The sequence below is a fragment of the Homo sapiens genome, chromosome 12, assembly GCF_000001405.40.
Source record: "Homo sapiens chromosome 12, GRCh38.p14 Primary Assembly".
Taxonomy (NCBI): domain Eukaryota; kingdom Metazoa; phylum Chordata; class Mammalia; order Primates; family Hominidae; genus Homo; species Homo sapiens.
The window spans coordinates 54,914,269-54,929,469 of record NC_000012.12 but is presented as its reverse complement, the minus strand read 5'-3'; the positions used below and the strand labels follow the sequence as shown (position 1 = coordinate 54,929,469).

Below are 15,201 nucleotides of genomic sequence, written 5' to 3'. Positions count from 1 at the left end.
CTTGAGATGTAAATTCTCGATCTGATTTCACCTAAGAATTGTTGCTTTAGAATGCAAATTTAGAGCTGTCTAGCTGACAATTGCCTAGGGCAATGAGACAGGCTCTCAAAAAAATTGCAAGTCTACAATGGGGCAGAGAAATTTTGAAAACTGACAAAATAATGATCTTATAAATCTATAAGATACACTTTGGTCTGCTACTATATGTCTATGTATTTATATATGTCAGGTGTATATAAAATTTTACTACTGAAATATATAAAAGAACTCTAATTGGCTTAAAGAAAAAAGTACTTAAATCAAATATTTTATCAGAAAAATTAGAACTTTAACTCAAATACCTTTCAGTTCACATGACTTTAGTAATCTTTGGTAAAGATCGTTTTTAAAATCTTTGGTAAAATAAAATAGAAACATCTTCAAATTAATTTAACAGATCAAATACTATCTCTGCTAAATGTTTTAAGACATAAAAATTTGCTTCCCAATCTATTTAATGTGCATGCACACCAGGGAATTTCAAGGGAATGATTATCCAATAACCCAATGAGGTCCAGATGCTTATATACCCTTCTTCATAGAAGAAGGTGAGATGGGGAGTGGGTATAGGAGTAATTGATTTTCAGGGAGAATGTGCTCTAGGGGAGGTGGCAGGAAGGGGAAGAGTAGAATTTCACGGTAAACAAAAGTTATTTCATTTTGTAGATAAACTTTCCCATGTAAACCCTTTGAGTTACCCTCAGAAGAATAAATGAAAACCTGTCTGGATGTGATGACTCCCAGTCTTTTCTCTGGTAGTTAATATTTCCTGGTTATTTGATGAGATTACCAGGGAGAAAATCTTAAAACAATTGTATTTCTTTTGTAAAGAAACTCCGCTAGTCAGAAGAGGAAATTTCTCAGTACTTGGAAAAGAAAGAAGATCAGAAAGGCAGGGGAAAGTCAGAGAGATACCTTGCTTCTAAGGGTTTTTATTTCCTTTAATTCAAGCACTCAGCATGCCAAAACACCATATTTTGGAGCATTATCTTCTAAGCCCCAAAATGGCATGCTATGGTACCCAAATTCTGAAATAGTTAAAGCCATTCATTATCTCTCATATGGGCCAACTTGTTTGCTATGTCCAAAAATTTCTTCATAGAAACTACAACTGTAGTTCATAATTATGTCTCTGAATTATATTGGAGCTGCAAATTTGGTTAGATTTTATGTCTTCTTAAGCCAATGCTAATACACTGAGAATAACAAGTAAGAACAGGTTAGTGATGTAAAATTCGTATGAATTGCATCCCTGCCCCTTCCCACTTTGCACATTTGAAAGGATATTGATGGAGTCCAGATCCTCAACATTAGAAAGGAGCTTCATTTCCCATGAGGAAGCTTTACTCAAATTACATGATATTATTTACATATCAAATAAAACTTTCATTATATCAAACACATAATAAGGTAAAACTATGCCTATAAATTGATAAGAAAAAAGGGAAACAATCTACATGGACAAACTAGGCAAAGGATATAAATGAAGTTGACTAACATTTATTTATTTTTTAAAAAGTCATAGACTAACGTTAACACACCTAACATCTTCTTTATCGTCATGAATAAAAATTCCTAGTCTATGTTTCTGTATGACCTTGCTAACATGCCCAAGGACATTCAAGCATTTTACATGTTGTGATGATACAGATAGCATGCAAGAGTCATACTTGATGTTATGGTACCTGTATTAGTCCATTTTCATGTTGCTGATAAAGACATACCCAGACTGGGCAATTTACAAAAGAAAGAGGTTTAATGGACCCACAGTTGCACGTGGCTGGGGAGGCCTCACAATCATAGTGGAAGGTGAAAGGCACATCTCACATGGCAGCAGACAAAATAAGAGAGCTTGTGCAGGGAATCTCCCCTTTATAAAACCATCGGATCTCATGAGACTTATTCACTATCACAAGAATAGCACAGGAAAGACCCACCCCCATGATTCAATTACCTCCCACCAGGTCCCTCCCACAACACATGGGAATTATGGGAGCTACAATTCAAGATGAGATTTGTGTGGGGAGAAAGTCAAACCATATCATTTCACCCCTGGACTCTCACAAATCTCATGCCCTCACATTTCAAAACCAATTATGCCTTCCCAACAGTCCCCCAAAGTCTTAACTCATTTCAACATTAGCTCAAAAGTCCACAGTCCAAAGTCTCACCTGAGACAAGGCAAGTCCTTTCCATCTATGAGCCAGTAAAATCAAAAGCAAGTTAGCTACTTCCAAGATAAAATGGGGGTACAGGCATTGGATAAATACACCCATTCCAAATGGGATAAATTGACTAAAATGAGAGGGCTAAAGGCCCCATGCAAGTCCAAAATCCAACAGGGTAGTCAAATCTTAAAGCTCCAAAATGAACTCCTTTGACTCCATGTCTTACATCCAGGTCACGCTGATGCAATAGGTGGGTTCCCATGGTCTTGGGAAACTCCACCCCTGTGGCTTTGCAGCACACAATCTCCCTTCCAGCTGCTTTCATGGGCTGGCATTGAGGGTCTGCAGCTTTTCCAGGCACACAGTGCAAGCTGTCAGTGGATCTACTATTCTGGGGTCTGGAGGATGGTGTCCATCTTCTCGTAGCTCTGCTAGGCAGCACCCCAGTGGGAACTCTGTGTGGGGGTGCCTAACCCCACATTTCCATTCTGTACTGCCTTAGCAGAGGTTCTTCATGAGCACCCTGCCCCACAGCAAACTTCTGCCTGGACATCCAGGCATTCCCATACTTCCTCTGAAATCTAGGTGGGGGTTCCCAGACTTCAGTTCTTAACTTCTGTGCACCCACAGGCTCATGGAAGCTGACAAGGCTTGGGGTTTGCACCTTCTGAAGCCATGGCCCAACCTGTACCTTGGCCTCTTTTAGTCATGGGTGGAGTGGCTGGGACCCAGGGCACCAAGCGCCTAGACTGCACACAGCAGAGGGACCCTGGACCTGGCTCACAAAACTACTTTTACCTCCTAGGCCTCCAGCCTATGCTGGGAGAGGCTGATGCAAAGGTCTCTAACATGCCCTGGAGACATTTTCCCCATTGTCTTGGTGATTAACATTCAGCTCCTTGTTACTTATGCAAATTTCTGCAGCTGGCTTGAATTTCTCCTTTGAAAATGAGATTTTCTTTTCTATTGCATTGTCAGGCCACAGATTTTCCACACTTTCATACTGTGCTTGTCTTTTAAAACTGATTGCCTTTAACAGCACCCAAGTCACATCCTGAATGCTTTGCTGCTTAGAAATTTCTTCTGCCAGATATCCTAAATCATCTCTCTCAAGTTCAAAGTTCCACAAATATCTAGGGCGGGGGCAAAATGCTGCCAGTCTCTTTGCTAAAACATAACAAGAGTCACCTTTGCTCCGATTCCCAACAAGTTCCTCATTTCCATCTGAGACCACCTCAGCATGGATTTCATTGTTCATATCATTATTAGCACTTTGGTCAAAGTCATTCAACAAGTCTCTAAGGAGTTCCAAGCTCCTACATTTTCCTGTATTCTTCTGGGTCTTCCAACCTGTTTCAACCTCTGCCTGTTACCCAGTTCCATCATCACTTCCACATTTTTGGGTATCTTTTCAGCAGTGCCCCATTCTACTGGTACCAATTTATTGTATTAGTTCATTTTCATGCTGCTGATAAAGACGTAAATGAGACTGGGCAATTTACAAAATAAAGAGGTTTAATAAACTTGCAGTTCCACGTGGCTAGGGAGGCTTCACAATCATGACATGTCTCATGAAAGATGAAAGGCATGTCTCATGTGGTGGCAGACAAGAGAAGAGAACTTGTACAGAGAAAATCCCCTTTATAAAACCATCATTTCTCATGAGACTTATTCACTATCACAAGAATAGGATGGGAAAGATCTGCCCCCAGGATTCAATTACCTCCCACCAGGTCCCTCCCACAACACATGGGAATTGTGGGAGCTACAGTTCAAGATGAGACTTGTGTGGGGACACACCCAAACCGTCTCAGTACCTAAATTAAAATTACAGAATAAAGAAGGAGCAATATATTTTGAAAGGGAAATAAATCTCTGGATCCCCAAATCACTAAGCTAAGGGAAAATCAAGCTGGTAACTATGTCAGGCAAACTTGCCTCCCATTTTATTCCTAAATAAGATAGCTACAAAGATAAAATGCTACGTTAACTCCCTCACAATTTGCCAGCAAGATAATTCCTTGTGGACAAAGGACAGAAAAAAACTCAAAGTCATCCCTCTGAGGCTCGCCTGTTACAAATGCATGTCTGATTGCTTCCTCTGCCTTATTGTTTATGTAAAAATGCAGATTCACTGAGCCAGACTAAATTGTGTATTCGGTGGAAGGCTGATCAAGGACTCAAATGAATGCAACCTTTTGTCTCTTATCTACTTCTGAACTGGACGGCCCCCCCGCCTTCCAGTTGTCTCACCTTTCCAGACCGAACCAATGTACATCTTGTACGTACTGATAGATGTCTCATGCCTCCCTAAATGTATAAAAGCCAGCTGTATCCCAATCTTCTTGGGCACATGTCATCAAGACCTCCTGAGGCTGTGTCACGGGCATGCCATAACCTTGTCAACATAAACTTTCTAAATTGACTGAGACATGTCTCAGATATTTTGGGTTCACAATATAAAAAGTGTGATTTGGGGAAAGCTGAATTTGAGACATCTCTAAGTCACTGAACTGGAGATTTTGCAATCTCATGCCCACCCAACTCCCACAGCATCACTATCAGTCATTGGAAGAAACACCACTAATATATGTATAATAAGTGTGTGCATGTGTGTGTGTGTCACTTTTTCAAATTCTGCTACAAAGTTGCCTACATTGTTTATGTCAATAATGCCAAGCCCATTCGTTTAGATGTTCCTACTAATGTTAACCAGAAATCCCCTCATTGAAGTTGGAGCCTTATTGTTATGGCACAGAATTATTTATAATACAGTCAGCCCCCCATATTCATGGGTTCTGCATCTGCATATTCAACTAACATGGATTGAGAATATTTGACCAATAAAAAATGGATGATTTGTACTGAACATATACAGACTTTTTAAGACAATGAGGTATAACAACAATTTACATAGAATTTACATTATATTAGGTACATAAACAATCTAGAGATGAGTTAAAGTATATGGGAGGTTGTGAATAGGTTATGTGCAAATAGTCAGCCATCCTGATCTACAGATACCATATTTATAGATTCGACCCAACATGGATGGAAAACACAGTATTTATGGGATGTGAAACCCATAAATACATAGGGCTGACTTTTTCTATTCACGGGTGCCACAGGGCTACTGTAGGACTTGAGCATCCATGGATTTTGGTATCTGAGGGGGTACTGGAACCAATCCCTGATGGATACTGAGGGACAACTGTAATAATCAAAAATTGAAAAATTATTAAATAGAAAATATAATTACCAGCCAATCTTGGATGATTTACTTTACTTCAGGTATAAAAGTGTGCCCTGAGAAAAGGATATACAAGATGCAACTATTGCTATCTTATATAGCTACATTTCTCTGGTTAAGGGGCCTGATTGCTCATAAGCAAAAGAGGTGTGTGTGTGTGTGTGTGTGTGTGTGTGCACGTCTGTGTGTGTGTGTAAATCTTAAACTAGTCTTCATGACAACAGAAGACAGCTTAGTAGGTGAATATTGTTAAAACAAACTAAATATGGCTGGAGAAAGACTCCATACTTCTATATTTGAGTCCTTACGGATAAACTGCAACCTAATTTAATAGGTAGACAAGATTGAAAACCTAACTCAGGAGTATACACCTGTAACAATCACTGAGTCTTGGCCAATCTCAGCAGCCATATCTCAACCAGTCATACACACTGCTGAGTGTTCAAACTGTGTTCAAATAAGGCAAATGCCAAGCTGTAACTAATCCAGCTGTTTCTGTGCTTCACTTCCGATTTCTGTATGTCACTTTACTTTTTTTGTCTATAAATTTGTTCTGACCACGAGGCATCCCTGGAGCCTCTCTGAATCTGCTGTGATTCTGGGGGCTGCCTGATTTGTGAGTCATTCATTGCTCCATTAAACTCCTTTACATTTTGGCTGAAGTTTTTCTAACAATTTCTATCTATCTTTTTAACTTTCTATCACCTACCTTGCTACTTATCTGTCTATGGAACTAAGAAGGGTAGTCTTGGTTAAATATAAATGTTAAAAAATTAAAAATGAATACATGAATGATATATTGGTATGAATTAGTTGACACAGGAAAAAAGTAAATTAATGAGAGAAGAGGAAGAACAGAACAAAATCATAAGAATGGGTTATTAAAAATAATCTAAAATAGAAAACTGCAAAGGTGTAGTCAAAGAAGTTGGAACAAAATAATTGATCAAGGACTTTCAAGAAATAGTCAATAGTATTACATAAAGCAGATAAGTAAGATAGTGTTACAGGGTTGAAAACTACATTAACACAAGATAAGAAATGTATGGAAAATGGAAGAAGAGAAGATAGTAAATGTAGTGTGTTCTGGAATAAAGAAAGGTTGAAAAGGAATAAGAACAGTGATGGGTAAAAGATTGGAAAATTTCTTTTTGAAGATTTAACTTCTAGATCCCATTTCTCTTTTGTTTTGTTTATTTTAATGATTAATAAAAGAAGGATTTACAATGAATTACATAATGTGTTAAAAGTCAGGAATAACAAGAAATATAGACTTTAAGAAAGAGAAATGAAAGGGGATAATTTAGAAGATATTGAAGAGAAGGGAATCTGGAGGATAAGATAACTTCATCTTGGAAAAGGGGAACATTCTAACTTATATGGAACAGGCTATAAGAAGCTAAAAGTTTAAGTTCAAATAATTTTTGATAGAAAATCTCAGAAAAATATCTGAAGGTTACCTAAGAAATGAGAGTCTTCTTTAGATAATTCTTTGGTTTAGACATCTTGGCCTCACATTCCATTTAAATGCCTAAGGTGCTTTGAAGTCAATGTCCTTGTCATTGGGCCTCAGGCTATGTTGTTTGTTTTAGTCTTATTGTCCTTGTTTCAAATCACTAAACCTTAATATGAAAAGCAGGTCCTATTAGATCATGCCTGATATAAAAGGACCATCAACTAATATCCAAGCACTTAGCGTATTACCTACTTGAGCCTTCTGTATTTCACAGATTTGTTTCATTTACTTTCCTGGTTCTTCTTGTGATGGCGGGTGTGTCCAGCCTCATAGTTTCCAGTGGTAAGTCTATGGGAATAAAGATTGAGGAACTCGGCCGGGCGCGGTGGCTCACGCCTGTAATCCCAGCACTTTGGGAGGCCGAGGCGGGTGGATCATGAGGTCAGGAGATCGAGACCATCCTGGCTAACAAGGTGAAACCCCGTCTCTACTAAAAATACAAAAAATTAGCCGGGCGCGGTGGCGGGCGCCTGTAGTCCCAGCTACTGGGGAGGCTGAGGCAGGAGAATGGCGTGAACCCGGGAAGCGGAGCTTGCAGTGAGCCGAGATTGCGCCACTGCAGTCCGCAGTCCGGCCTGGGCGACAGAGCGAGACTCCGTCTCAAAAAAAAAAAAAAAAAAAAAAAAGATTGAGGAACTCTTTAGAAGCTAGTTAAGAGCAGCTTCACCCTGGATCTAAAGATACTTCATTCAATACTGATGATAGAGGTGAAAACACAAGTTTTGATATTGAGAAATTTTATTCTTTCTTAACCACTATATATCCAGGGAAAGAAGACTGCCACATCAGTAAAAAATTATTTTTAAGTAGAATTAAAGTTTTATCTTAAAAACAGTTAGAAATTATTATTATTAATTATGCTTTTTAGGAATACTCTTATATTACTCCTGTTCCTTTTATCTATCATTAGTTTATATCATTTGAATCTAACTGAGTTGGTAGGAAATTAGCTGGCCAACTATTTAGTAGGAGTATCAGTAATTTCTTAATTTATCTTATTTATTTTCCAGAGGTCATGACCATCATTTCTTCTGAAGACACAACTACAATTAGTAAGTTTCTGAACTTATGCTTTGTAATCACACTTTCACAGGAGGTATCATTGTAGTAATATTCTTTACATAGTGTCAGTATATTCCTGAGGCCTATGAATTGTCATGGAGACACTGGGGAGTTTAAAGAGACTGACAGGGATATATGATAAGAATACTTATAAATGACCACACATTCATTCTATTTCAATACTGTTCAATGGTAGAGTATTAAAATACAGACAAATATAGGTTACTTAAATGATGCATTTTATTTAGAAATCTGGAAGGACATTTTGTAGCACTGCAAGATTAATGATTCCTTGGTTATTTGGCTATAAAGAACAAAGTTGTTATTTTTAGCTTGGGTATCAGATTAAGGAAAGTATCAGTAGATAAAGCTGAAAATGTCTGTATCATGTTTTGACACAAATAAACCAACAAACTGGAGTACCACATATCATTCCCAAGCCCAGAGGAAGAGCTGCATTTGTACTAAAAAATAAATTGTGTATTGCCTTCAATGAACTTAATGATTTCCTCCCTAATTCTTAGCTGAAGACGTCTTCATTGGGAAATGCCAGAAGACGTCATAACCATTCGCTTCTTTGAGGGTCTTGGTTATAAATGAGAAGAAAAGGATACATTAAGAGAAGAATGACAAAAATCATTTCTGGTGTTCAGGAGATTGATCCATGGATATTGGGGACTGCTATCTGGTTTGGGAGTATGGAAGAAGTCATGCTTCATTTGCCACTGAGAAAGTATAAACCATTAATTAGTTATCATGTTTTCCAGTGTCAAAATAATAGTGATAACCAGTTTCACTTCATTCTTGCTTTTATTCTTTGTCTCATAAAGGAGAAAAATTTCACTTCTTTGCACAGGAGAAAAGAGAATTGAACTTGTTTATCATATTATGCAGATAGGTGAGGTAAGATAAGAAATCAAGCCAGGCTACTCACTCCCATAATTTCTTCTGTTTGAATCCATTTCTCCACAGTGGAGGTGCTAGGAAAGAGTTTATGCTCATTTTTAATCCTTCTTATGGCCCTTCATTTTATTTTGTTACATTCATATATGTAGTTATTTATTCAATGTCTATGATTCCGAATGAATACTCCTCAGCATTTGGAAGAGAAAGAACCTATCATCTTATTCACCAACGCAGTCCTGTCACATAGAAAGAATGTACTAAATACTCAAAGAAAGACCATAAATAAATAGAATAACCAGGACTTAGTATTGGAACTTTTTTGGACCTCTCTTTTTACTAGGATGCTTCCAGTTTGGGGATCATAGGGATATATTAGGTTAGTGCAAAAGTTATTGCGGTTTTGCCATTAAAGCTAATGCCAACTTTTGCCCTAACCTAATAGATAAAGCTCGGCATTTCAGTTCTCAACAGATTTAAGATAGCAGGTGTCTCATCTCAACACCTTTATCTTTCCTTTTAGCCACAGGACAGCAACCGACTGCTGTCACTTCAGCCAGAGCCCTTCACATTGTCACTGAAAGAGAGTAGCATTGAAGATTTATCTCTATTTGATTCACCTAAGTTTCCCAGCCTCCCTTTGATTGTAGGAAGATACTGGTTGGCTTCTTTCCACTTGAATGTTTCATGTTAATGATATGGCAGGTTTAGGAAAGATTGTGGAAATGTTAATGCAAAGAGAACAGAAAGACAGATGGACAAGTGATCTGAGCAGAGCCAGCTTCTTTCATTTTGACTGTGGCTCTGAATATTAAGCACCAATTTAAAACATATGCTGAGCCTCCAGGGCTTTGCTCTCCAAAAAGAAGGGTTTATGGGGCAGATGTGAAACTTGAATATATCCAAAAAATTATATTAGAGGAGAGGGCAAATTATTTGTGGTTTGGGGCAACTAGTTTTTTTTTCTACTAATGAATTCTATCAAACTTTTTTTCTTTGTAGAACTGATTTTTTTTATTTATTTGTATTTAAGTTGATAAACAACATGTAGTATGTCATGGACAACATGATGTTTTGATGTACATATACATTGTGCAATGGTTAAATCTAGCTAATTAATAGATGCATTATCTTACATAGCTATCATTTTTGTGGTGACAGCAAATAACATCTACTCTCTACATTTTTCAAGAATACCACGTATCATCATTAACTATTGTCACCTTGCTCTACAATTGATCTCTTGAAATGTATTCGTCCTAACTGTAATTGTGTATTATTTGATGACTATCTCATCATGCCCCCTCTTCCCAACCACTTCAGCCTCTGATAACCACCCTTATACTCTATACTTCCATGAGATCAACAGTTTTAGATTCACATATGTGTGAGATTATGCAATATTTTTGTTTCTGTGTCTGGCTTAATTCACCTAATAATGTCCTCCAGATTCATCCATGTTGTTGCAAATGACAAGATTTTATGTTTTTTATGGATGAATAGTATTCCATTCTATGTGTGAATATATGTGTGTATATATTTATGTATGATATATATCATATATATCACATTTTCTTCATTCACCCATTGGTGGACACAGGTTGATTTCATATCTTAGCTATTGTGAATAGTACTGCAATAAATAGGTGAGTGCAGGAGATATTATTTCTTTTCCTTTGACTGTATACCCAGTAGTGGGATTACTAGATCATATGGTATTTCTATTTTTAATTTTTTGAAGACTCTTCTACTGTTTTCCATAATGATGGTACTAATTTACACTCCCAACAGTAGTATGTAAGGTTTCCCTTTTCTCCACTCCTTGCTAACACTTGTTTTTTTTTTTTTTTTTTGTCTTTTTGATAACCATTCTAACTGGAGTGAGGTGATATCTCACTGTGATTTTGGTTTGCATTTCCCTAGTGTTTAGTGATGTTGAGCATTTTTTAATATACCTGTGGACTATTTGCAAAAGTTCGTTTGAAAAATGTCCATTCAGGTCTTTCACCCATTTTTAAATCGGGTTCTTTGTTTTCTTCCTATTGAGTTATTTGAGTTCCTTATATATTTTGGATATTAAACCCTTTTCAGATGTATAGTTTGTAAATACTTTCTCCCATTCTGTAGATTGACTCTTCATTCTGTTGATTGTTTCCTTTGCTTTACAGAAGCTTTTTAGTTTGATGAAATCCCATGTGTTCATTTTTGCTTTTGTTGCCCATGCTTTTGAGGCCTTTTCCAAAAGCTCCTTGCTCCTACCAATATCATGAAGTATTCCCCTATATTTTTTTCTAGTAGTTTCATAGTTTTCAATCTTATATTTAAATATTTAATCCATTTTGAGTTGACTTTTGTATCTCGTGAGAGATAAAGGTCTAATTTTGTTCTTCTGCATATGGATATCCAATTTTCCCAATACCATTTATTGAAAAGACAGTCTTTTCCCCAATGTATGTTCTTGGCACTCTTGTCAAAATCAGTTTGCTGTAAATATGTAAATTTATTTCTGAATTCTCTATTCTGTTCCATTGGTCTATGTGTCTGTTTTATGCTAGTACTGTGCTGTTTGGCTACTATAGCTTATAGGATATTTTGAAATTCAGTACTGTGATGTTTCCAGCTTTGTTCTTTTGGCTCAAGATTGCTTTGGCTCTTTAGGGTATTTTGTGCTTCCATACAAATTTAAACATTGTTTTCTATTTCTATGAAGAATGTCATTGCTATTTTGACAGGGATTTCATTGAATCTGTAAATCACTATGGGTAATACAGACATTTAACATGATTTTTTCCAACCCATGAACATGGGATATCTTTCCATTTATTTGCGCCTTCTTCAATTTCCTTCATCAGTGTTTCACAGTTTTCTTTGTAGAGATCTTTTACCTCCTTGATTATATTATTTATACCTAGGTTTTTTGGCACTATTATAAATGGGATTGCTTTCTTGATTTCTTTTTTTAGGTAGTTCACTATTAACCTATAGAAATATTACTAGTTTGGAGGACCTGCTCCTGCTGCACTGGACGGAGCTGCAGCGGCTGCTTTGCCTTCCTTCGCCACCAGTCCTGGCCATCGCTGGGGAGGTCTGCGGACCTTGGCTCCAGGACCTGAGCGGGGGGCCACACGAGGCCCATGGCCCTGCCCCTGGCTCCGTCTTCCTTGGCCATCAGGGCCTCAAGCCCCTCTGCGGCCCCCACCTCGAACGGGGTCTTCTGCAAGGGACTCTCCCACACCCTCCTTGCCTTCTTTGAGCTGGCCTGGCACTCATGAACTTCCAATACTTGTATGTCGTTGCAGGCTCTGTGATCCTCAACATCTGCTTGCAGGTACACTTTTAGAGCCGCCACTGAGCTGCCGGCCTCGGCCTCCCGGGACAGCATGATGGCAGACTCCCAGGGGCTCCCGCGGCGCAGCAGAGCTGCCTACCTCGAGTCCCACAGTCTTGAGAGTGCTCAGGCGCCCTTCGTGGCTGGGCTCTTCACTGCCAGTGGAACTCCTCTGGGAGCACGGAGAGCCTGCAATTCCTAGAAAGAGGAAATATGCGACTCCGGGAACAGAGAACTTCAGTTAAGAACCTTGAAAAGATCTAAGAAACTATGCAACCTTAAAATAAACACCTGACAAATTTCAGGATGTGAAAAAGGGCAAAGAACGCTTTTTTTTTTCTAAAGGCTAAAATTTTCAGGAAAAAAATATCAGTAAACTTCAGGAATATTGGATTGGATCGTAAGCAAGGCTTCAAGGAGGAAGAAGCTGAAGGTATTAAGGATATGATATAGAAGGCATATACTTCTTCATCCCACAAGAGAAAACAATAATAATTAGAAACTAGGTGAAAAAAAATAAAACTGTACAGGAAAAGCATCCTCCTCCAAGTACCAAATATAAAATGCTGCAAGATTTTGAATGAATGGTGAGAGTGTAAGAAAATGGGCTGTATTTCAATGCTCCTGTGGCAGGATGTCAATCAAGAGCTTGGAGCCAAAGAAAAAGAAATCCCTTCCTAGCACAAAGCTTGGCTGTTCAGTGAATAGCGTTTAAATAACCGTAAAATAAAAATCCTGTTTATGATTTTTATTGATTAGGGGCCTACTTAATTAAGGTTACCAAGTGGAATGCAAATGTTATCTGCCATATTTTAAAAATATCAGCGGAAATACAAGTGGGAACGTTGAAGGAGAGAGAGAAAGGTAAATGGAATGGTGATAGTGTCCTTATAAAGTGGACAGTTGAGCCAGGCACAGTGGCTCACACCTGTAATCCCAGCACTTTGGTAGGCCGAGGCGGGGGGATCACCTGAGGTCAGGAGTTCAAGACCAGCCTGGCCAACTTGGTGAAACTCCGTCTCTACCAAAAATACAAAAATCAGCCGGGTGTGATGGCGGGCGCCTGAAATCCCAGCTACTCGGGAGGCTGAGGCAGGAGAATAGCTTGAACCTGGGAGATGGAGTTTGCAGTGGGCCGAGATCACGCCATTGCACTCCAGCCTGGGCAACAAGAGTGAAACTCCGTCTCAAAAAAAAAAAAAAAAAAAAAAAAAAGTTGGCGGGGGGAAGTTGAAAGATATGGTCTGTTGTTGAGGGAGAAAAGACATTTATTACTTACAAGGTAACCATAAAGTTTCTAAAATAGTAATATAACTGTATTAAAGAGGGAGAATGGTAGGGGAGAACAGTAAGAAGTCAACAGGAAATGCCTAAAGATGGAGAACTCAGGTAGAATATTTGAAAAAATAAAAATTGATAGAGTACCTGGTGTATTTGAATATAGACTAGAGAGCTTTCATTTTCCAGAGAGCATGGGGATAAATTAGTGATCTGCAAATTTTTCTTTTGTTAAGAAAACAAAACTGAGGTAATTATGAACCCCAGGAAAAATAAAAATTCAAAAACTACACTGTATATCTGAACTGTGAACAATACTAGCCATATAAAGTTAGTCATAATTATGTAATTACTGAATATTGATTTTATAAGAAATAATTCTATAACATTGGGAGGATGGGAGAGAAGAGAGATTGTGTAATGGCGGCAAGCCAATCAAGGTCTGTTGTAGAAAAGTCCAGAAAAAGCAGTATACACATGTCTTTTCAGAACAAAACAAAACAAAACAAAACAAAAACTACAATAAGAAACTGCTAAGGGTTAAAAGTGATTGTCTCTGGAAAAATGAAATCGGGGTGGGTAGAGAAAAGGCAAAGGTTTGCTGGTTTTCACTACCAATCCAGCAGCATTATTTGATTTCTTTTTAACTATGTATATGTTTTTCTTTGATTAAAAACTAATATAAATAAACATCATTTTTAAAAGTTCAAAAAAAATGCTACTAGTTTTTGTATGTTGATTTTGTATCCTGCAACTTTACTGAATTCATTTGTTAGTTCTAACAGTTTTTTGGTGGATTCTTTAGATTTCTTTCTCTATATAAGATCATGTCATCTGCAAACAGGGAAAATTTAACTTCCACCTTTCCAGTTTTGATGCCTTTTATTTCTTTCTTTTGCCTAATTCCTCTGGCTAGGACTTATATGATTGTGTTTAATTGAAGTGGTAAAAGTGGACATCGCTTTCCTGTTCCAGGTTTTAGAGTAAAGGCTTTCAGCTTTACCCCCATTGAGTATAATGTTAACTGTTGGTTTGTCACATATAACCTTTAGTTTGTTGAGGTACATTCTTTCCAAACTAATTTGTTGAAAGTTTTTGTAATAAAAAGATATTGAATTTTATCAAATTCTTTTTTCACACCTGTTTAAATAATTATATTGATTTTGTCTTTTATTCTGCTAAAAGACAAAATATAGTTACAGTGATGTATCATGTTTATTGATTTGCATATATTAAACCATCCCTGCATCCCTGGGACAAATCCCACTTGACCATGGTGAATGGTCTTTTGTTGAATATGCTGTTGAATTTGGTTCACTAGTATTTTTTGAAGAATATTTACATCTATGTTCATCAGGAATACTGATGAATTCTGTTATAATTCTGTTAATTCGGCAGAGTTTTAGTGTCTTAAAGAAATAAATAGGTCTGGCAGAGAGCTAGATTTAGAGTAGGTGATTAGTAGAGAGCCTAGTATGAGAGGAAGCAATTATGAAATTGCATGTGTCCAGAGAAACATGAGCTCTACCTCCCAGGTTAAGAAGAGAATTCAAGAGAGAACACAGGAAATCAGCCACTGCAGGAGAGACACTGTAAAGATGTTGGCAGGATTCTAGTTATCATGGCTGGTCCAATTGTGTAAATGAGAAATCTATTA

At 37.7% G+C, this 15,201-nt stretch overlaps 1 pseudogene, besides 1 other annotated feature; it reads left to right on the top strand.

Moving 5' to 3' along the window:
• The window catches only part of LOC105369778 (small integral membrane protein 10-like protein 1), a 30,020-nt pseudogene extending 16,779 nt beyond the window's left edge, over nt 1-13,241 (top strand).
• Nucleotides 11,966-12,174: a silencer, noted in NCBI's record as "fragment chr12:55311080-55311288 (GRCh37/hg19 assembly coordinates)". NCBI's record gives its function as "represses an EF-1alpha promoter that drives an FKBP-Casp9 reporter gene in an ReSE screen in HepG2 liver carcinoma cells {active_cell/tissue: HepG2}" and the evidence as "EXISTENCE:reporter gene assay evidence [ECO:0000049][PMID:32094911]".
• Nucleotides 13,242-15,201: the final 1,960 nt, after the last annotated feature.